This window comes from Homo sapiens, chromosome X (genome assembly GCF_000001405.40).
Source record: "Homo sapiens chromosome X, GRCh38.p14 Primary Assembly".
NCBI classification, from domain to species: Eukaryota; Metazoa; Chordata; class Mammalia; order Primates; family Hominidae; genus Homo; species Homo sapiens.
In genome coordinates this window covers 132,007,994-132,030,839 of record NC_000023.11, presented here as the reverse complement: position 1 = coordinate 132,030,839, position 22,846 = coordinate 132,007,994, and the positions used below count along the sequence as shown (strand labels likewise).

At 39.5% G+C, this 22,846-nt stretch overlaps 1 protein-coding gene across 5 annotated transcripts in view, besides 7 other annotated features; it reads right to left on the bottom strand.

Annotated features, from left to right (window-relative positions):
- The window catches only part of STK26 (serine/threonine kinase 26), a 52,642-nt gene extending 45,104 nt beyond the window's left edge, over positions 1 to 7,538 (bottom strand). For 2 of the 5 annotated variants that reach the window (NM_016542.4, NM_001042453.2), the window contains exons 1-2: positions 7,433 to 7,538; positions 7,181 to 7,332 (exon numbers count right to left, since the gene is read on the bottom strand). In NM_016542.4, the coding sequence (NP_057626.2) occupies positions 7,181 to 7,222 (42 nt within the window). In that variant the 5' untranslated portion in view covers positions 7,223 to 7,332; positions 7,433 to 7,538. Of the gene's footprint in view, positions 1 to 7,180; positions 7,333 to 7,432 lie in introns of those variants that run through there. The other 3 variants (XM_047442156.1, NM_001042452.2, XM_047442155.1) reach the window with 2 other exon arrangements.
- Positions 6,857 to 6,926: an enhancer, noted in NCBI's record as "active region_29970". NCBI's record gives its function as "activates an Ori minimal core promoter by ATAC-STARR-seq in GM12878 lymphoblastoid cells {active_cell/tissue: GM12878}" and the evidence as "EXISTENCE:reporter gene assay evidence [ECO:0000049][PMID:35858748]".
- Positions 6,857 to 7,456: a biological region, named in NCBI's record as "H3K27ac hESC enhancer GRCh37_chrX:131157425-131157972".
- Positions 6,896 to 7,443: an enhancer, noted in NCBI's record as "H3K27ac hESC enhancer chrX:131157425-131157972 (GRCh37/hg19 assembly coordinates)". NCBI's record gives its function as "activates a minimal SCP1, AML or CMV promoter by ChIP-STARR-seq in primed H9 embryonic stem cells {active_cell/tissue: H9 hESC(primed)}" and the evidence as "EXISTENCE:reporter gene assay evidence [ECO:0000049][PMID:30033119]".
- Positions 7,297 to 7,456: an enhancer, noted in NCBI's record as "active region_29969". NCBI's record gives its function as "activates an Ori minimal core promoter by ATAC-STARR-seq in GM12878 lymphoblastoid cells {active_cell/tissue: GM12878}" and the evidence as "EXISTENCE:reporter gene assay evidence [ECO:0000049][PMID:35858748]".
- Positions 7,444 to 7,990: an enhancer, noted in NCBI's record as "H3K27ac hESC enhancer chrX:131156878-131157424 (GRCh37/hg19 assembly coordinates)". NCBI's record gives its function as "activates a minimal SCP1, AML or CMV promoter by ChIP-STARR-seq in primed H9 embryonic stem cells {active_cell/tissue: H9 hESC(primed)}" and the evidence as "EXISTENCE:reporter gene assay evidence [ECO:0000049][PMID:30033119]".
- Positions 7,497 to 7,746: a silencer, noted in NCBI's record as "silent region_21003". NCBI's record gives its function as "represses an Ori minimal core promoter by ATAC-STARR-seq in GM12878 lymphoblastoid cells {active_cell/tissue: GM12878}" and the evidence as "EXISTENCE:reporter gene assay evidence [ECO:0000049][PMID:35858748]".
- Positions 7,907 to 7,956: an enhancer, noted in NCBI's record as "active region_29968". NCBI's record gives its function as "activates an Ori minimal core promoter by ATAC-STARR-seq in GM12878 lymphoblastoid cells {active_cell/tissue: GM12878}" and the evidence as "EXISTENCE:reporter gene assay evidence [ECO:0000049][PMID:35858748]".

Genomic DNA, 22,846 nt, shown 5'->3' with positions numbered 1-22,846 from the left:
TAAAATGAGTTACATTCTGCCACTCCTTCAGAGACATTGTTTTACATGTACCTGTGGTGGAAATTCTTCGAGTCTTAATTACAAGGAATGAAAAGGAGTTTGTTGTACTATAGCTAATAATACTATTATTTTTTGTTTGCCTAACACCATTTTTCTAGCAACAAAAAAAAAACAGTAGAACCACCACTCTTTCAGAACACAGAACTTTGTCAAAAACTGCTATCAAGCTGTCTGAAATTCTACTATTAGATTTCCATTTCTTAAGGTATAATTCTCTGTAAAATGTGAATATCCATGGAGAAGTAAAGCACTGAGCCATTAATCAAAAACATCTTAGTGTGAGTGAAATTATCAGATTCTTTCTAATGTGACAGTTCAGACAGGAAGTAAAACAGTTTTTTATTTATGTTTGTTTTTTGGGGAGTGGGAGGGAAGAGGGAAGAAACAAGAGGTAGATAGGTCCAAATCACCAGTGAGAGGACCCTGAAGAGTCATGGGAAAGTACAAGTAGAAGGAAGGAGAAAAGGAGAAGAGATGAGGGGAGAAACAAATTTGCCTGAAATCAGCCATGGTTACCAAGAAAGCAATGAAGCTCATTTTTCTCTCAAAGTCTGTGGAAGACAAGAGAATGAAAGCTTCAGTGTGTGTGGACAGATGATTAGTTACAAGAATGTTTTGCTAGACATATTATACATAATACATGAAAATCATTTAAATAAGTATAGAGTCTACATTGTACACATATAAATTAGTCTTTAAGGTGTACAGAGTTCAGGTGTTGTACAATATTTTTAAAGAAACAGAATTTTAAACAGTTAGAAAAGTCCACTGTACAGTATAGTGATTAGCCAAGATTTTACATATAATTCATACCTAATGGTATAAAGAAAAGTGAAATACATGGTCCCCACCTTCAAGAAATGTACAACCTCATTTGGGAGGCAAGTATAACATATATAATTAGAGAAAATCTAAGGCAGTATAATACATTAAGGACAAGACTGTCTACTACTGACAATAGACAGAATAGGTGCTTGGAAATAGAAGAGATTTCTATAGCCTGGGACATTCAGAGAGAGTTCATGAAGAAGCTAAGATGGAGGACCTTGAAAATCAGGTAGAATTTGGCCAATCACTGGTTATTGAACTGTGACTGGCATGGTAGAATTAAAGGGATTTCTTGTTGGGATGTAGTGGGAACTAAGTATAGATCTACAGAGAGGAGCCATATAACAGAAAGTATGGAAAGCTGAGCAGAGGGCTTTGTGTCTCATTGGGGTGGTGTGGGGTGGTGATTGGGTTTCAAAAGAAAAATGTGGGTTATCAAGCAGGAGAGAGATGAGATAATGGCAGTGTTTTCATGTGATTAGCCAAGCATTGTTTTGCAGGATGAACTGCCCCCCATACATCATAACACCTTTTACAAAGGAGCTCCAACTCCACAGATGATGGTTAATTCATCCTAATAACCTCTCATTGAGGCAAAGGAAATGCAGCTTTTATTATTCCCCATTTTGTAGATGATTTGCTCAAGGTCACTGAATATGAAAAGCAGAATAAAAAATACAATATCACAATGTTCAATTGTTCCTAAGTACCAGCTAAATTATATTCTCTCATTTGCTGTGACTCAAGCAAGAGAAGTACATGATGACGGACCTTTGTACTCAAGTGCCATTTCTAAACTCTGATTACTGTTGAAGGCACATGTCCTATCATACCCAATTCCTGTTTATTCTCCCTACAGTCCCTACTCCCCTAGTGTCAAAAGTTCTAACTAACCCCGCCTTCTCTCAGCTAACAGTCTTTGATTATTTTGTTCCAGCTGGTCTTCTGCCATTATCATTAGCATATTCAACACCTCTGCATTAACTACTCAATAACAAGGACAATAATTCGGGTTCACCAATGCAAAGCAATGCTTTCAACCTCAAATTGCAAATCTGATTATCCCCTTAGGGAGGTGTAAGGGAGGTAAGAACTCCACATACTGGACTCTGGTACCAACCTGAATTCTTTCTCCAATGTAGGTTTCCGGATGACTGTTAAGTAAAGAATCCCCCCATCCCCCACCCCAGTTAACTCTCTCTCTAACTTGACACACGTTCTCATCCTTTCATACATCTTAAAGCCACCCTTACTTTTCTTACACCCTTACTTTTCTTACAACCCTTACTTTTCTTACAACCTTACTTTTCCTGTCTCATGAGGGCCCTCACTTCCACATATTCTTTCTGGCATTATGAACCTCTCCCTCCTTGATGTCTCTAGTCCTTCATTTTCAAGTGAAGTGCCCGGCATAGAGTAGATGCTCAGTAAATATCTGATGAATGACCAAAGCTTCAGTTCTACATTTTCAACTACTTATTGGACATATGTACTTTGTCATCCCATTGTTACCACAAAATTCACAAGTCTAGAACAGAAATCCTTAACTTCCTACCAGATCTGGCTCTTCCCCACTACATTCCAATTTCTTTCAGATGTATCATAAGTCTCCCAGTTCCCTCCTATTAAACACCACAGTCTTTAACTTTTCCTTCTGAAACTAGCTAATTATTAAGCCTGGTAATTAATTTTTTCTTCATAGTACTAAACATATGTCCATGGAACCTGTCCATGGAAGGCCCATTGCATCTGTATAACTATGATTGACCCATTGAAATAGCCTCTGTAGCCAGGCGCAGTAGCTCACGCCTGTAATCCTAGCACTTTGGAAGGCCAATGTGGATGGATTGCTTGAGTCCAGGAGTTGGAAACCAGCCTGGACAACCACTAAACATTGTCTCCAAAAAAAAAAAAAAAAAACCATAAAAATTAGCCAGGCATGGTGGCGTGCACCTGTAGTTCTAGCTGCTCTGGAGGCTGAGATGGGTGGATTGCTTGAACCCAGGAAGTGGCGGCTGCAGTCAGCTGTGATCGCGCCACTGCACTACAGTCTGGGTGACAGAGTGAGACCGTGTCTCAAAAAAAAAAAATTAAAAAAGAAGAAATAGCCTCTGTAGATCAAACTGCCTTCCCCTCTCAATCCTCCAGTTGATTCATTCATCCAATTTTGAGATTTCTCTTTCGATATATAACTTGGTACATTGAGTCTCCCTTACTCAGAAATGTTTAATGGCTAGTTCAAAGGCCAAAATCCTTCCCTGGCATTTAAGGACAATCATGATCTGTACTCAATCCAGTTTTCCGACCTTATCATGTATCATTTTTCTAGAGGAATTCTCTATGACAGCCCAAATGACTTTATCCTGTTCTCAAAGATTGTGTGTGTGTGTGCATGCACTCACAAATGCAGTGCACCTTTCCTTATCTATATTGTATACATATGCTCCTTGACTTAAAATGTGGTTACGTCCCAATAAACCTATCATAAGTTGAAAATATTGTAACTTGAAAAGGCATTTAATACAGTACACCTAACCTACCGAACATCATAGCTTAGCCTACCTTAAACGTGTTCACAACATTTACAGTAGCCTACAGTTAAGCAAAATCATCTAATGCAAAGCCTATTTATAACAAAGTGTTGACTAGCTCATGTTATTTACTGAATACTGTATGGAAAGCGAAAAACAGAATGGTTGTGTGAGTACCATTGTAAAGTCAAAAAATCCTAGTCTGTCTACCTCTGCTGGGGATTTTTCCTTGCTTGGAAATGCCCTGCCCAGTGTGCATCCTAACAAGACTTTAGGGTCAGCTTACTTTCTGGAAGCCTTCAACACTTCCAGTGAGAAACTTCTATTATACTTACAGTGAGTTCACAGATTTTGCATTATTTGATATTTCATGTGCTAGTTTTAACAACTCAACAAGATTTTAAGATCTTTAAGGGTGGAACATGTAATATACGTCAGTATGCTTCCCAGAACCCAGTGATTATGTTCACCAATGTCGGGCAGTGTTTCCCACCACTTAGATAAAAGTCTTCAATAAAGTGATCATTAATCGTTAAACTTCATTTCTACTTCTCATCTCAAATGACAACTAGATTTAAACTGTACCACCTTGGTCATATTTAAAGATACATGAAGGCTAATTTTAAAGTTCTTTAGCAGAAGCTTTAAAAGTTCTTTAACAAGAGGCACAGCATAAAGCATAACATTTAGTACTCTAACTCAACATTTAACTTTATTCTTCCACCTACATCTTACGAAAGATTTAACAATCAACAATATTCTAAATGAAACTTGTCCTCAAAAATACTATTGTAGGCTCTAAGGGGAAATATCTTAAACTTAAGTATGATTTATAACTGAAAACTTCAAAGAAAACAGGGTTTGAATCATTAAAGAGTAAATATTTGAGTGGAAAGAAACAGGTTTATTGGTTTTTTTTTAAGTTGTACTTTAAATATTTTCAAGAGTTCAGCTACTGGTATGGAAAATTCCTCTAGTTACACACTAAAGAAGTAAGCACAAATTAAGTACAAAAAACTTCATACCCTCAACATTTGGTGTAACGTGGCAAAAAATGTTCGTTACCACAATATTAAGAAATATCAACAATATGAGTTTGAATAACTAATTCATAAGGAAGAGTTTGAACTGGACGAAATCCTGGGTTTTCTTTCTTCACTCCAAGTTTCTTTTCTATTTTAAACTAGTGGCAACAGCAATTTCTTTGTTTGAAAGTCAGGAATGCTGGAAATCTTAAGTGATAGAACAGGTAGCTGGGCTTCTACTTCACGTCTCTCCTCAGAGGGAGAAAATAATTGTGGATAAAGTAATTTTCTTTGTATTTCTGGAAAAATCATTTTTCCCATCAATCTTCATAATTCTCTAAAATAAACTGTTAAAAAGTTATAGGCTGGTCGGCTACCTCACCCTGATTTGTGGAAACACTATACAGTAATTTCAAGAACACATGGCTAACTGAAGTTTTCTAAAGGTCTAAAAGTTGCTCCTAACGCCTTCATAAAACTCTAGGAGAATTTTACAAGCTCACGATAGATTTCTGCATCTCATCTGCAATATTTTGCTACATAACAATAATAAAAATAGTCTAGCTTCAAGAGTCACACTGCATGCTATCAAATTTATTATTAAGGTATTGTACATTTTCAACTATGGAAAAAACTGTGTGCTGCACAAAGTGCTTAAGAACTACATTAGAAATAAAATGGAAATAAGAAGTTAAGAATTTACCATTTCATTAAGATGAAGAGAATGACCAAAAAAAAAAAAAAAAAAGATTCCTCTCTTCTTTGCTAACGTTGAGATGTTTGCCCTACTCAAATTAGGTGGGACAAAGTAATCACAACTCAGAGGGCACAGAGTGAAAGGCAGAATTTGTAATTTAAAGTATATGATTCACATTCGAATCCACATTAATTAAGATTTAAAAATTCAAGAGATAGGCAACTCAGATAATTAAAAGCAGGGAGCAATCAGAAATACTGAACAGCAAGCAGTTCCTAAACCATATAAATTCAATAAGTTCAAGACAAATAAAATAAAAATCAGAAACCATTTTCCCCTCAGCACACAGAGTTCCCCAGAATCACAAACTTGATGAACTGGAGGCACTCACTCTGCTGACGCACACACGCAGGCTCGCGCACACAATGGAGCGAGAAGCATGGAGACCCTCAGAGACAAACTTCACATGTGCATCGTTTTACTCTCCACAGAATGGAAAGAAGAGCACGGTGAGAAAATGTCACTTTTTCCCAGATCAAACAGCAAAACTGTACTTAGTATTGTGAACTATGAATTCCCTTGATACAATCAAAGGCAGAACTGAATGAATGGGGTGTGGGGCAGGGTGCGTGGGGAAAAGAAGGAGGGAAGGAGAGGGGAGGCCGCCTGAGAGGAAGAAAGTTTAAGGCATTTTGCAAGGCTTGAGTGGATTAATCTTTTTTTTTAAGCCCTACTATTTCCTATTTCCCTTTCTCTCTCTCTCTTTATTTAATATACACTAACTTCCTGAGACTCAACCCAGACTTGCCCTAAATGCAGCTGAAATGTCTGGTGTTTAGGACACACCAAGAGTTCTAGGTGCACAAATAAATCCCATTTTGGGAAAGAATTTAAAAATCACTTTTGTGGACATTCATAAAATGAGAACACTGAAAAAAAAAAAAAAACTCCATGTATCAATAAGTAAATTGAGGCCCCAGTCTACAGCTCTTTGATTTCTACTAGAAATATAAGCTATTTACTATAAACATTTTATTTTTGAACTTCAAAAAAGTTTGTTTTCACATTTTAGATCATGAAAGACTGAGGCTTCAGTGGTTTTAGCCCCTAAATGGGTTGTTTAGGCCATCTAGCAAAGGAAAAAAAAATAGAACATGAATGCTTTAAAAAGTTAGTAAATTTGGATAACACTTAGCAGATAGCCTAAAATGCACCGATTTAAAAACATAACAGCATAAAAAGTTTTCTGACATAGCTTATCTTTAATAAAATGAAAATATAATGGGAGGGGGTTGGGCTGGGTAGACTTCGAGTAACAAGTTGGGTCCCATGCAGTAGTCCCTTGTCCAAGACAAAAAGCTTCCTTTAACCACATGTAACAGTCATCTTGTGGGAAAGGCACGGAGGGGGCTGAGAAGTCATCACCTCAGTGACTCTGAACAGAACCAGCATTTCTCACGCCACACTATGGGCTGGGCTAGGTCGGGGAGCAAGCTACAACTTTGCCCTTAAGCAGCAGTACCGAAAGGGAGAAAGAGGTCACCTCTCTCTTAGCCCTACGCACACAGGAAGAGCCCAATTCAAGCCGCCGCCGCCGCCACCCCTGGTGTTGCCCCGCCCCAACTTGAGTGTGTGTTTGGGGTGGGGGGTGTAGGGCACTCACTACTCGCGTTATACCCCACAAATTCCAAGGCACTTCCATCTCTCCCAGGTTAAGTTCCGCCCCCCCATCCCCAACCGTGCCAAGCTCAGCAGGCGCAGGTGTCTGTGGCTCTGGCCTATTTTTATACCCCCAACCGCCCTCAATCTCCACCTAGTTGCGCGCTCCAGTCCCGCCTCGCCTTCCCAGCGAAGAGCACTACCTAGCCTACACACCAGGAAACACCTCCAGCCCTACTCCCAGGTCACCTGGCCATAGTGACCGGCCCTGCCCTCAGGGGAGCCCTGGGGCCGTCCCTTGTCGCCGGTGCCCAGCACCGAGGGCGCACCGGGCTCCCAAGCAGTCACGTGGGCGGCGGGGGCGGCCTGCGCTTCCTCACCTGCATCCCAGGCACTTGGACAGCCACCGGCGAGTGGGCCATGGAGGCGAATGCTGCCTCGCTCCGCTTCTGCGGCGGTGGCGCCTTGGGTTCGGACTGGCTCCTCCCTCCGGGGGTAGTTCGGCGGCCCTCCCAGGCTTTTCGATCGGGGCCTGGGAGGACACACAAAAGTGGGGTTACTGGGCTGGCGGCGCGTAGCCCGGGGCTAGGAGGTGGGCTGTTAGCGGCGCAGCTCCCTGGGACTCAGTCTACCTTTCTGGCGCCCGCCCGCCGCTGAAGCAGCCGCCTCCGCTGCTGCTCCTCTTCCTGAACGCCGAGCGCTGTGAGTGGTGGTGGCTGGGACCTGGGCTCGAGTGATGCCGCTCCTCTGCGCCTCGCCGCTTTAGGAAGAGGAGGTGGAGGCGCCCCAGCCACCCGCCTGCTCGCCTGGCCTGGGAGGCGGTTGGGGGCGGTTCCGCCGTTGGCCCTGCCCCCGCCCCGCAGCCGGGCGGTGTCGCGGGAGCCAAGGCTCCAGGCAGCGAAGAGGTTTGGCTGGGGTTGCTGGAGTCTGAGAAGCTGGAGACTCTCCCGGCACGCGGAGAGGAGAACCCGGGGACCCGGAGACCTGGGACATGGCTGGGCCTGGGAAGAGAATGGAAGAGTTTGGGAAACCCTGAGGGTATGAGGGCGCCCCAGATGCGGCCACGTTGCAGGGAGGCGTGCGAGGCTGGGGCACACGCAGCCTCGGAGACGACTTGAGCTGAAACTTGGGGAGTGTTGGAAGTCTTTCTTGGCTCCCCGGCCTGGCCAAGGGTAGGATTACAGATAGCCGCGGAGTCGGTGGACCCCCGCTTTTTCCCGCCATCTGGTCTCCTCAGCTGGGGGTCGCGCCTCTGGGCAGATCTGTGGCCACACTCTTGCTTTCCGAGTTCCCTGACCCCAAACATGCTTCAGGTGACTTCAACTTAAGGTTCCCCCTACCTCCTGGGCTATCCCTTGCAGAACGGCCAAACTAGGGCTTCTCTCTACCACAAGTTCTGCACGTGTAAGGCAGAGGGAAATTGGAAAACAGATGGTACATCGGCAGAAAAATTAATGAGGATAGTAGAGGCTTGGGAAATGAGATTGGATCGTTAGCAGTACAGGTTATTGAAATCAGCATACACTGCAGTGGTTTTGGTAACTCCCTGCCTCCGCCCCATTTTAAGTTCTACTCCAGGAGAGGGAGACAGGCTCTTTTGAGAGTACTCTAACAGTAGCGACAGTAACACTGGTAATAATAGTAACAGGAATTTCATTATGAAGGCACCTTTGGGAACACGTAAGGGGTTAATTACTTTTTAAAAAAGTAATAGTCGAGTGCCAGTTTAAAATGAAGATGAAGTTCCTTACCTTGAAATTTGTTATGGGTCTCTACGCACCACACGGTGGGGGGCCTCTAGTGGTAAAAGATAGTTTCTCTTCTTCCTTTTAAATCTTTTTCAGAGAATAGTATATAATTCTTATCAATATCGTTATTATTAATGGATATTATTTTCATTGTGCCAGGGACTGCTAAGTGCTTTCTATGTGTTATTAATACCTTACTGAACCTGTACAAGGGCCTTCTGGAGTCTTATTGATTTCCCCTCATTTTACAGATGAAGAAAAAGGCTCAACCAGGTTAAATAATTTGACCGAAATGTCACGCAATTAAGAAGTGGTACAGCTGGGAATTCAGACGCAGGTCCCTCTGACTGGTGATAAACTTACTACTTTCTCTATGGTTTCTGTTTGTGTTTAATGATGATAAAAGGTACAATTGCATTTTCCTTACTCCTAGTTCCCCAAGTCCAGCCCTTCACTATTTCTAACCTAATGTTAGGCTCCAATCTAGTCTCGATTTCCCACCAACCCAGCTCACAACATTGCCAGCCTGACCGGAAACCTGCAGTGCCACCTAAACTTTTAATGTCCATAGAAATCCGAGGGTTCTTTTGCTCCCTCAAAAGCGCAGATTTTTATCTCCCATGTCTGGACTGGGCCCAAGATTCTGCAATGCTAACAAGCTCTCACATGGTGATGATGTTTAGATCACACTTTTAAGTCGCAAGGGTCTGAATCAAGCTCCATCATTTAAGACCTGTCTCAAATCTCACCTCCATTGACCCTTCCTAGTTGCTCCAAGCCCTCCTTCAAACTCCTCCAATGTGAGCAGCGCTCACACTGTAGTTCTTTCTTCTTATTTCATATATTTCATTTGTTTTGTGTGCCCATATTAGGTCCTTGAGGGCAGAGATCCAGCCTCTCTTACATGAGAATGATTCAGGTAGGATGGCAGGAGTCTGAGGGCAAGCTTTTTATACATTTTGTCCATTGCTGTATCCCCAGAGACTAGGTTCATGGCATGTAGTAGGCCCTCAATAAATAATTGTTGAATGAATGAATGAACTTCTTTTGAATTCTCCACTGAGGTTACTAGGTGCATAATGTATACACTATATATTTTATTGATGTCAGGTTAAACCCCTAGGCATTGCCCTTACTGAACATTTAAATTGTTCAGTTTATTGTGTGTTACATCTTTCATTATTTAGTCTCCAAAATTCTTTCCTGCTAGTTTAATTTCACAACTACTTATGAGCCAGTTGTATAATTTTGATAGATAAGTAAATTAAGCATATCAGAGAAATGACTTTCTCTGACATCATTCTGGGCCAGAGTTATGTAACTATGTGGAAGAATAAAAGCTTAATGCTGAGACCTGGAATATTGAGACATTTCCTGAAAGACATTGCATTTGAGATCTTAGTGAGCTTTTTAGCCTTTATTTAGGTTTACTGCTATTAAATAAAGCATCAGTTGTTGTTATAATTGATAGAGATCACTTGAGTTTTTACATGGGATTGCTTGTGGGCTTTTAAATGATTTTTCCTGTGTGTGTGTGTGTGTGTGTCTGTGTCTGTGTGTGTGTGTGTATCTATAAATTAAATCTTGTGAAGGTGTCAACATTTGAAAACAATTCAAATTTTATGAGCATTAGAAACTTTTTTTCCACTTTGAACTGGATTATTTCTCAAATTCTTAAATAAAATGACAAGAAATTCAAGTACGCTTTTGTTACACACACACACAAAGGAAACTTAAATATTTTACTTCAAATTGTCAGCCCAGGCCAGGCGTGGTGCCTCACCCCTGTTCCCAGCACTTTGGGAGGCCGAGGCGGGCAGGTTACCTGAGGTCAGGAGTTTGAGACCAGCCTGGCCAACATGGCGAAACCCCATCTCTACTAAAAATACAAAAATTAGCTGGACATGGTGGTGTGTGCCTGTAATCCCAGCTACTCTGGAAGCTGAGGCAGGAGAATTGCTTGAACCTGGGAGGCAGAAGTTGCAGTGAGCTGAGATCATGCCACTGTACTCCGCCCTGGGCCACAGAGCGAGACTCCATCTCCAAAAAAAAAAAAAAAAAAAAGTCAGCCCAGAGTCTGAAAATATATTACAGTGTATTCCCGTAGTTTAATGGAAAACGTTTCTTGAGGAGAGACACAACTTATGCTTTTTGGTCACACGTAGAGTGTAACATAGCACCTCAGAAAGGATTTGGTACCTGCTTGATTGATGTGATCTGAATGGCTGTGAATACTTAATAACCATATAAATAAAATAAGATTATACACAGATTAGGTAAGGTTTTGAGTAACATTATACACAGATTAGGTAAGGTTAGTGAATTTCAAGTTAGACAGTGTTCTTGAGGCCTCAAAACTTAATAATTTACATTTGGCACCTGGTTTCAATTTCCTGACATTTGTCATACCCTCTATTCAGGTTGAGTATCCCTTATCCAAAATGCTTAGGACAAGAAGTGCTTCAGATTTTGGATGTTTTTGGAGTTTGGAATAATTGCATATACGTAATATCTTGGGTATGGGACACAAGTCTGAACATTAAATTCGTTTATGCTTCAGATACACCTTATATACATAGCCTGATGATAGTTTTATACAATATTTTTAATTTGTACATGAAACAAAGTTGGTATACATTGAACCATCAGAAAGCAAAGGTGTCAGGTATGGAATTTTCTACTTGTGATATCATGTCAGCACTCAAAAAGTTTCCAATTTTGGAGCATTTTAGATTTCAGATTTTCAGATTAGGGATGCTCAACCTGTATTAAATATTTAACTTTACCCATGTTTACAAATATTTACTGAATTGACTGGTTCTTAGCTAAAGTGTAGGTAGATGGAAATAGCCAAACTTTAATACAGGCGGCAGTGAAATAAGGGCATGTTTTTCAACTAGGACCAATTATGCCTTCTGGAGAACATTTCTGGGTATCACAAATAGGCAGGTAGGTGCTACTGGCATCTAGAGAGTGGAGGCCAGGGATGCTGTTAAACATCTTACGACGCACAGGGCAGTCCCCACAAGAAAGAACTATTCAGTCCACAATGTCAATAATGATAAGGTTTGAGAAACCATGCTCCGCACTTTTTGCATTAGGAGCTACTAACCAAGAAACAGACTTGAAAATCATTGTTCTCTGAAGATTTTAGCTCAGTGTTGTGGCTGGGACCAAATAAAGAAAAGACTCATAAGATATTGAGCCACATCAAGTGGGTAATAGAAACAAAGCAGTATTCTTATTTTACCTCTGTAATGAACCATAGATCATCTGCCCCCTAAAAGTGAATACAACTTAATGAAAAATAGTGTTGAACAGAAAATAACTTTAAGTAAAAAAATAATGATTTTTTAAAAAAATTAATTACTGAGCATGTTCTAATATACCAGGCATTACCTAGCCTTCAAATATGTTAACTCATCATGATAAATTTGACCTCTTATTCTACTTTACAAAATTTAAAGGTAGGATTTCACATTTTGGACTTACACATTTTGAGCCTAGTGACTATGATGAAATGGATAAAATGTATATATGTATGAAATATAATGGCAAATTGATATACTTACCTGAGTATTTGAAACTAAAGAAAATTATCTGGGTAATTCTAGAAGCTCACCATCCAGTGATGGGAATATTTTGATTCAGGCTGCGGAGTCTACTGATATTTGGAAGTACAACATTCAAGGGCCATTTTTTATTTTAATAAAAGCATAGATGATACCTCAAATTTACTGTTTACTCTCATTGGACATCAAGTTGGAAACCATGTTATGATAGTTCTTGCAGATGTCATATGTATCGTTGCTATTGTTCCAGCATAGCATCCCAAGAAGAAACCTATTGAATCAGACCTTGGTCAAGGAACATTAAACCTTAAACATTAAAACTGTGTGACTTCCGAATTCTCCTGAATAACCTTCCACCTTTTGTGGCTTGCACAATATATTATCATAGTATTATATATAATGGAAACTATACTATCCAAGACATCCCTGCTGAATATTCTCTCTAGCTTTACTTCCTGATGCTGCTGAGGGGAATAAAACAACGGAGGAGGTAGGTGGAAGCAGATGCCATTTAAGCAGTTTCCTGCTTATAACATTTCTTTACATATATGCTTACTTGCTTTGAAATGTTTGCATTTAGGTACCAAAAGCATCAAGCTCATAACTTCTGGCCTTTACCAATTGGTTACAGACCTAAGAGAGGTAAGATGGCCTGGACATTCATTTGCATGCAGCGGCAGGAGTCAAAAGATGGAGGAGCTCCCTTCCTGATTCCAGTTTTGCTCCTCTGCCTAAACTCTCACTTACAGAATCAGACTGTTGACCTTTAGATGCCTTGGACCTAAGGTGAAGGCCCTCAGAAACATTCATGGGCTCACTCACAGTCTCTTCAATGCTGAAAGAACCACTGTACCAGCCATCCTATAATGGTAGTTTATTTTGCCATATGGGTACCTGAGGAGACTGGGGAGTTTCTTGGGAGAGATTCTTTGGAAGCCTGGGACCTTTGTAATGAGGTGCTCTCCAAGGTGCAGTTTTTAGTCACAGGAGAGCCTTTCATGTGTCATGATGCTAAACAACCCATTTGAGTGATATTTTCCCCTCTGAGTTGACATTTTAAAATGTATTGAATTGACCACTTGTTCTTTCATTTGTAGGCTTCTCAAGAAAATAGTTCTAGTCAAAGGTGGCAGTTAAAAACAGGAAAAAACTGGCAGTTGAGACCAAATAGGAAGTGACTTTGCCATCAGCTCACACCAAGGAAAAGGAAGTTGCTAGGACCTCTAAGAAAGGCAGTTGTGTAAAATTACCACCCTTCAACTTGCTTAGCTGAGGCTCTGTCACCCTGTGGTAAAAACTTCCATGGTTTTGTTACTGCAGTAGTTGAGAGAACGTGAACAGAGTGAGGGAATAACAGGCACCCCTTGCAGGAATGTTATCAGGGACTGCCAGAAGTTTCTAATGGGGGCAGAAACTCAACATTGTAAACAAGCAAAGCTCCCATCCTCTTTTTTTATCCTGGGCCACATCAATATTTTAAGATTAGTTAACATTCAGTATGTTATATCATGAGGCTCACCACAAGGGTCCAAATGTAAACTATAATGGGGTTTTTTGCTGAAAAATAGAAGATAGAATGTTTTTTATACTTTCACTTTGGCCCCAGGTCCAGCCTAGGCCACACCACCTTTCCTTATTTCCCTTACTTTCTCTTCCCTTACTTTCTCCTCCCTTCTTCTTCTTTTTTTTTTTTTTTTTTTACTCACATATTTCTTGCACTGTGCTAAGTGCTCGGAATATAAAGAAATGCAAGGAGTTTGCTTTCCCACAGGAGAATGCAACAAAAAAAAGGAGGAGCATTCACAGCAATAAATGATGATAATAGCAGTCTATTACTACAACAACAGGCACCAGAGAGCAATTCATTTTGCCTCTGTATATCCTGGAAGGCTTCACAGAGGAGGTGATATTGAGCTAAACCTTGAAAAATGAGAAGGAGATAGCCAAGTAGAGAATTGAGGATAGGGGATGGAGAAAAGAAGCCATTCTAGGCAGAAGGAACAGCATAAACAAATGCCTAAACAAGGCCTGTGTATTTCCCCATCACCTGGTGACCTGGTTAAAATACAGTTATTGCAATTCATTTATCCAGTTCTGAATTTGTCCATCCAAGGTAGACAAAGGGCACTTGTATTTTATTTTTAAAAAACTCCCCAGGTGATTATGTTGTGTACTCTTGGTTAAGAACCTCTAGAACTAGCTGATAGTTTGATTTGATTTTACAGGCAGAAACACAGAGTACATGAGGTGTCCTAACAGTGAGGCTGGAAGGATCCATTAGGGACAGACTGCGAGACTTGTGTGGCATTCTGAAGAGTTTATACTTGATCCCTTAGGCTCTCAGCAGTCTTTTGGGGTTTTTAAGGAAGAAAGGAATTTGATCCAGATTTGTTTTTTCAAAATAAAACTCTGCTTAGCACATAAAGGATAGATAGAATATGGAGGAGATTAGAAGCAGAGGGACCTATTAAGAGACCATTAGGAGGCCATTGTAAAAGTACAGAAGAGGGACTGAACTAAATTAATGGCTGTGAGAATGAAGAGGAAGGAATAGAGTCCAGAAACAAATTACGGTTAGACTCAACAGCATCCAATTGATTGAATGTGGACAACACCAGAGGGAGAGGTTTAAAACACCAGCGACATCTAGCTTAGGGAACTGGATAAATGTTAATGCCTGGAACTTCACCAGAGAATGTAGAAGGGGAACCAGGATTGGGGAAATGATAAGGAATTCAGTTTGGGTACACCGAGTCTGCAGTGTCTGTACAGCCTCTAAGTGGGGATATCCAAAAGGCAGTTGAAAATAGCGAGAGGTCAGATTGCAAGTATAGATTTGAGAACTGCACAGAGAAATCCTTTGTAACCTCGTGTCAAGGTGTCAATAAAGGACATAAAAAATAGAAACCAAGTTGGAACTGTTCACTTCCCATTTAGAAAACCACTTCTTAAATAATTGTCCTATGTTTTGGGCCAGTCAAATGTGTCCTATGTTTACTGGCATCACATCTATCTGCAGAAAGCCTACCGTTTCCTTCAAAGTAATGATTGTTAACCTCCTGTCTGTGAGATCGTATTACTAAGTATTTCTGCTGTGTTCCTGCATACATAGATTTCCCTTTGAATGAACGATAATGACAGTAAAGAAAAGAATGGAGTAAAGAACAGAAATGATGTGAAGAAATCTGAATACTACATTGCCAGCTTTTCTGGTATGGTTTTCTTTCTTGCAACTGTAAAATAGATTATTGTGCACCAGAAGAGTTTGTATTATATTTCCCTTCCTACACTCAAAAGAAAATGAGGTGGGAGATGACATGCATGCCTGGTTTCACGAAGCCAAGTTAGTGTCTTCTACAATGGAAAGAAAAACAGGAACAATTTATTGCAATCTAAAGCACAGATTACTGGCAAAACCATGATATTTGCCTGCTGTGAAAGTGCATAGCAACTTTAGTTAATATTCCTCCAATTTTTTGAAATCATTCATACTGTTCTGGTTCTTCCATTCTTTCTGTGCTGTTGACCTTTTATGAAACTTCACACATTCTTATAGTTTACCATGTGTGAAGGTAAGCATTCAAATGGCTAAATGCCAACTTGAAATTAACATAGATAAATCATGCTTTCCATATAAATTGTGAAAATAGTGGTAGACATTTACAGTATGAGATCATGAAAGCAGATACAAATAAATTATATTTTAAATGTTTTGTACACTGCATTTTATTATGTGTTTGGGTTTTTGTCAAGTGTTACAAGAAACTGAAATGTACCAGCTCTTAAATTTTAATGTAACTTTAGCATCTGACAATATACAGATTCTTGCTATGCAAATATAGAGAAATGGGTGCTTACTATGTTGTGAAGGATGGATTTAGTTCATGAAATATAGTTTTTAAAAATATACATTTTCCTATTTTTTCCAGACTCTAAAAGCATTAAAAGGTTATTGCTGTATGGAAAGGTCATTTACATGAACAATAGCAGAAGAAACTGTTTCTGGGTTGTAAAATGCTGGGTTATTGAATATGTTTCCTAGTAAAATTGTAAGGTATGGAAAATGAGTATACCTAGCAAAATGCTTCAGTGACACTTCTCTACTTTGGTTCTGCACGTAGCATATGAGATATAAAGTAATTCTTTTTCAAAGCAGAAGCCCAAGCCACCAAACTTGAATTAATTCAAATAAAGGAATTAGTTAATTATAATAGGTATCGTGTATATAGTTATTACTGTGTGTCAGGCATGGTTGCAATTTACATATATTCCCATTTAATTCTCACTACAACTTCATGAGCTAGGTACCACTATCATCCTATCATTTCCATTTTAGAGATGAGGAAACTGAAGCACAGAAAGATTAAATAACTCGTCCAAGGTAGAGTTGCCAGATAAAATACATAATGCCAGTTAAATTTGAATTTTAGATAAATGAATGATTCAGCAGGAGACATATTTATGCTTTAAAATTATATCTAAAATTCAGATATAAGTGGCCACCCTGTATTTTTATTTGCTAAATGTGACAATCTTACAGGCCAAAGTAACAAAGTTATTCAGGGGTGAAGCCAGAATATGAACCCAGAGAGTGTGGCCTCTAACCCCTATACCTATATTGATTATAAGAAATGGAGGGCAGAGGCCAAGGGCGGTGGCTCATGCCTGTTTACCCAGCACTTTGGGAGGCCAAGGAGGGCGGATCACTTTAGGTCAGGAGTTCAAGACCAGCCTGGGCAACATGGCGAAACCCCATCTCTACTAAAAATACAAAAATTAGCTGGGCATTGCAGAGCACATTTGAAATGCCAGCTGCTTGGGAGGCTGAGGCAGGAGAATTGCTTGAACCCAAGAGGCAGCATTTGCATTGAGCTGAGATCGCACCACTGCACTCCAGCCTGGGTGATAGGGCGAGACTCTGTCTCAAAAAAAAAAAAAAAAAAAGGAATGCAAAGTTGAGTGCTTCATTATCTATACTTGGAGTATTTTTTATTTTTAAATCACAACTAACAGTCAAGCCTCATGGGCAGGATCATAGGTCTATAATAACTTTGAATTTATTTTAATTTACTCTAATTGTTAATATCATTTGGTCACAGTATTTTTAGTGAGTTGTTTGTTCTAAAAGTGATAAGATCTATAATAGTTTTGAATCAACTTTGCCTTCAGTGCTTTCCAAGGAGAGAGATTACTGAAAAAGTATGATTCACTGTAATGATCCATTGTCATGAGTGGAATTAACTGACCAGTGCTGTTGTTCAAAACACCTTTTCCTATTATCACAAAGCAGCTACATGTTGTTTATAAAGAGCTACATGTTGTTTATAAAGCTTTCATTCAATAAGAGCTTTTTAAAAGAAAAACATAGTTTTCCTCATGTTGTCTTCTCTTTTCGTTTGATATTTTTACTCTAAAACAGGCAACATGACATCTACCTTTTGAAAGATACTACAATTTCATGGGGAAAAACATGGGTTTCAGAGCCAGACAGACCTTATTAGCTGTGTAACCTTGGTGTTTGAGGCTCATTTTCTTCATGTGCAAAATGGGAATTATTATTACCTACTCCAAATGGTGACGGTAAGGATTAAATGAGTTAATGAATATAAACCACTCTAATATGATGTCTGGTACAAACTTGACACTTCACAAATAGTGGTAGTTCCTTTCCTCTGTCTATTTGCCCCTTCTCCTGAGCCTCCACTACTCACAATTCATGAGCAACACTCATGAGTCTCCGAAAATCTAACCCTTATTTACTAAAGCATTCTGGCTTGTCCAAAGGTTACACAACAATCAGGGGTAAAGTCAATTGGAATCCAGAGTGCCTAAAATGTTTTCCTCCTGTGATTTTCTGAATCCCTAAAATGTTTGGGTTAGAACAAAGGACTACAGTGTTGTTTGTGCTCTTAGAGATTAGTAGGAAGGATTTTTCAGGGTACCTTTAAAAAAACATTGAGAATGTTCTTAGACTTTCAGGTTGATATTTATACAATTTAGTTTCATGGGGAAATTCACCATGAACATCTTTGAGGGACACAGAGAGACATAAAAATAGATGCCAAGGGCAGGCAAATTATGTAATTAAGGCATTTTGCTTACTTTTCTCCTCTAAGTATGTATGTGTGTGCAAGTTCATTGAAGCAAGGGGTGGTGATGTATAATGAGGGGAGATACAGAAGTAAATGCAGTTAGGACCAAATACAAAGTCATTATAAGATTAGAAGGCAAATAACTTTGCTACAGAAAAAAATCAATTCTGAGAGGTGATATATAATGTACATGTGAAAAACATGGACTCTGGATCCAGACTACTTAGGTTCAAATCCTAGTTTTGTCCACATACTAGCTCTGTGATCATCAGCAAAGTGCTTAACTTCTCTATACCTCCCTTTCCTTACCTGTCAAAGAGAATGATAAAAGGAACTACCTAATCAAATTGATTTAAGGGCTTAAATGAACTTTATTTTTTTCTTTAAACTTTGATCAAAGCATGAGATACCTATAGAAAACTGTACAAATCATAAGTGTCCAAGAGCCCAATGAATTTTCACAGTGAACACATTCATGTATCTATCACCTAGATCAAGAAAAAGAAACTTGTACCCAGAAGTCATCTTGATGCTCCCATTCAGTCACTACTTCCCCCAGCCCAAAGTTATCCACTTCCTTATCTTCAGTCATCATAGATTCATATTGCCTACTTTTGAACTTTAAATGAGGATCTACATAGAGTGCTTAAACAATGCTTGGCATATTGTAAACACTATATAAGCTTGGCAATGTGATTTTAACAATAACAAGACAGTAGGTATGTTTTGGGGGTAGAATTGTTAACAAGAGTAATAAAAACAAAAGCAAATATCCGAGGTAAAGCCTATGACAATGAAGCTAAATGTAACAAGCCTATTTTTTTTTCAAAAATTAGGTTCTTGGAATCATTTTTCCTTTTTTTTTATTATACTTTAAGTTTTAGGGTACATGTGCACATTGTGCAGGTTAGTTACATATGTATACATGTGCCATGCTGGTGTGCTGCACCCACTAACTCGTCATCTAGCATTAGGTATATCTCCCAATGCTATCCCTCCCCCCTCCCCCCACCCCACAGCAGTCCCCACAGTGTGATATTCCCCTTCCTGTGTCCATGTGATCTCATTGTTCAATTCCCACCTATGAGTGAGAATATGCGGTGTTTGGTTTTTTGTCCTTGCGATAGTTTACTGAGAATGATGATTTCCAATTTCATCCATGTCCCTACAAAGGACACGAACTCATCATTTTTTATGGCTGCATAGTATTCCATGGTGTATATGTGCCACATTTTCTTAATCCAGTCTATCATTGTTGGACATTTGGGTTGGTTCCAAGTCTTTGCTATTGTGAATAATGCCGCAATAAACATACGTGTGCATGTGTCTTTATAGCAGCATGATTTATAGTCCTTTGGGTATATACCCAGTAATGGGATGGCTGGGTCAAATGGTATTTCTAGTTCTAGATCCCTGAGGAATCATTTTTCCTTCCATAAATGATATCTGTTGTGTATTCCATGCTAAGAAAAATACACTCCATTTGAGACATCCAAGAAAACATATGCCCAAACATTTCAGCATGACGCAGAATGAGAATTTTACTCAAATTTTTAACAAACTAATAAGAAAACCAAATTTGGCAGATGCCTTTCTGGGCCTCAGTTTTCTTATTGTAAAATGAAGGGTATTGGGCCAGCACTGACATTTAGTGTTTCCATGAAAAAACAATTCTTAAAAAGCAAAATCTGGGAATGTTGGAACCACTGTTTTATAGCCAAATAATAAATCTAGAGTCACAGTCAAACATGACCTTTTGGAAGGAAGGCAGTAGGGTTTCCGTGAGGGAAAATCATGTCTGACTAATCTATTAGCCTTCTCAAGAGTGTAAATAACATATGGACAGGGAGAAACCAAAGAATATAATTTACAAATACTTTTATTTCTTTTTTTTATTATACTTCGAGTTCTAGGGTACATGTGCACAACGTGCAGGTTTGTTACATATGTATACATGTGCCATGTTGGTGTGCTGCACCCATTAACTCGTCATTTACATTAGGTATATCTCCTAATGCTATCCCTCCTCACTACCCCCACCCCATGACAGGCCCTGGTGTGTGATGTTCCCCACCCTGTGTCCAAGTGTTCTCATTGTTCAATTGCCACCTATGAGTGAGAACATGCAGTGTTTGGTTTTCTGTCCTTGCGATAGTTTGCTCAGAATGATGGTTTCAGCTTCATCCATGTCCCTACAAAGGACGTGAACTCATCCTTTTTTATGGCTGCATAGTATTCCATGGTGTATATGTGCCACATTTCTTTAATCCACTCTATCATTGATGGACATTTGGGTTGGTTCCAAGTCTTTGCTATTGTGAATAGTGCCACAATAAACATACATGTGCATGTGTCTTTGTAGCAGCATGGTTTATAATCCTTTGGGTATATACCCAGTAATGGGATGGCTGGGTCAAATGGTATTTCTAGTTCTAGATCCTTGAGGAATCACCACACTGTCTTCCACAATGGTTGAACTAGTTTACAGTCCCACCAACAGTGTAAGAGTGTTCCTATTTCTCCACCTCCTCTCCAGCAACTGTTTTTTTCCTGACTTTTTAATGATCGCCATTCTAACTGGTGTGAGATAGTATCTCATTGTGGTTTTGATTTGCATTTCTCTGATGGCCAGTGATGATGAGCATTTTTTCATGTGTCTTTTGGCAGCATAAATGTCTTCTTTTGAGAAATGTCTTTTCATATCCTTTTCCCACTTTTTGATGGGGTTGTTTGATTTTTTCTTGTAAATTTGTTTAAGTTCTGCAAAGACTTTTTAAAAAGCCCTTGACAAGCTTTCATATTGTTGACTTTTTTGTTGTCGTTCAATGACTCTCTGTGGATTGGGGGAAACATTTTTTCATGGAAAGCAAGCTAACTTACGGAATTAATTGGAAGATAGGAAAAAGTGGGTGCTTCTCCGGATGGAGCAGTGTCAGCACTAAGGTTACCATGGGCCCAGGCTTGTTGAAGCGGTGTACACTAAGGAATACAGAATGGTATTTCTATGTTTGTACCTGGCACTAAGTAGGCTCTTCTCAGTAGTGAGATGTCAAACTGACATAGGATAAATGGCAAGACAATCTCTCAAAATAGGGGAAGTGGGGAAAAAGAAATAATGAATCATCTTAGTAAGATAAAACATTTGCAGACTAAGTAAAGTAGCTGCACAATACAAATCATTAGAGCTGTTGTTACTTATGGCTCCAGAAAGTGAATCTAGGAGTTGTAGGTTATTTCTGGAACAATTTCAGCTTACTGTGCCATTTTGGCCAGAAAAGTCAACAAAATTCTGTGCGTAAGTAGAAAGTAGACTAGAAATAATATGACATGTCCTATGTTTGAAAAAAAGATTAAAATCTGGAACATGATGTTTAATTCAAGGGGTCACAAATCAAGAAAGACAAAATGGAGCTCAAGCAGGCATAGAGATGGGCAGCAAAAATGAGAGAATGAGAAGGAGCTGTACAGAAACAGACTCAAAGTATTAGCATTCATTAAACCAAAGAGATGAAGATAGAGGCAATGGCCAAAGTGAATACTGATACTAGGGCTGCTAATAACGATCACTTGTGTAGGACTCCCTTTGAGCCCAGCACAGGTCTGAGCACTTTACATGCATTGCCTCCTTCAGTACCTATCAACCCTATGAGGTAAGTCCCACTATTTTCCTCATTATAAAAGCATCGTGAAGGGTATGTATGGAGTAAATAGTGATCAGAGCTATTTACCGGCTAGAGCTCAGCACAGAACTTTAAACTCAAAAGAGTCCAATCCAAGACAAACAAAAGAAAGTGAGATTTATACAGTAGGCAGTAAAACCTACAGAACTCACCAACTCAAGCAACAGTTAGAAGTCGATCTGTAAAGACATTCAAAAAGGAGTCAGACTAGATTTGTAGAAGATACAATCAAGCTATCTTACTAAAATGTCTTTACCCTTTGAGGTTGCCATTAAGGAGGACAACCACACCCTCTCCACTCCTATTGCCAACATGTTTCTGTGTCCCCCTATAAAAATTCTGGGCTGGGTGGACCAGAAATTTGGCCAAGTGTGGTTTTTTTCTTTTTAATTATGACATAAGTTGGGGAATGGTACATGAATTCTTTGTGGGTATCTCAAGATGGTTGTAATTTATGCTCTGCTTGAATCTGTTTTAATTGATAGCCTAAATTCCACAGAAGCCTATTTAAAGCAAGCTTTGTACTCTGTAGAAATGGGATCTTTCAGAAAAACGACTTGCTGAAGAATGAATTGCCACAAAGAAAGCAGGTAGAGGATTTTCCCTTTGGCATCTATCATCTAGTCAGCATTTATCTGGAGTTACTTCATGGCTATATTTCTTTAAGAAATTACATTTCAGAGAAAATACATTTCATGTCAGGAAAATAGGAGAGATTAGCTTAAAAGAGAATCCCCATGTAAAACTCACATAGTGGCTTCAGTCCTCAGGAAACCCAAGGGTAGACTCATCTGGTGTTGCTCAAAGCAGCGTCTGTCTTGTTTTTCTAACACTGGTGGTTTCCACAAAATACACTAGCATCCTCCTTTGGCTTTGTGACCTTTACCCTAATTGAAACACTGTATGTGTTCTGGACAAACCATGAAAAAGAAACAGAAGAGAAGAAAGAGCAAG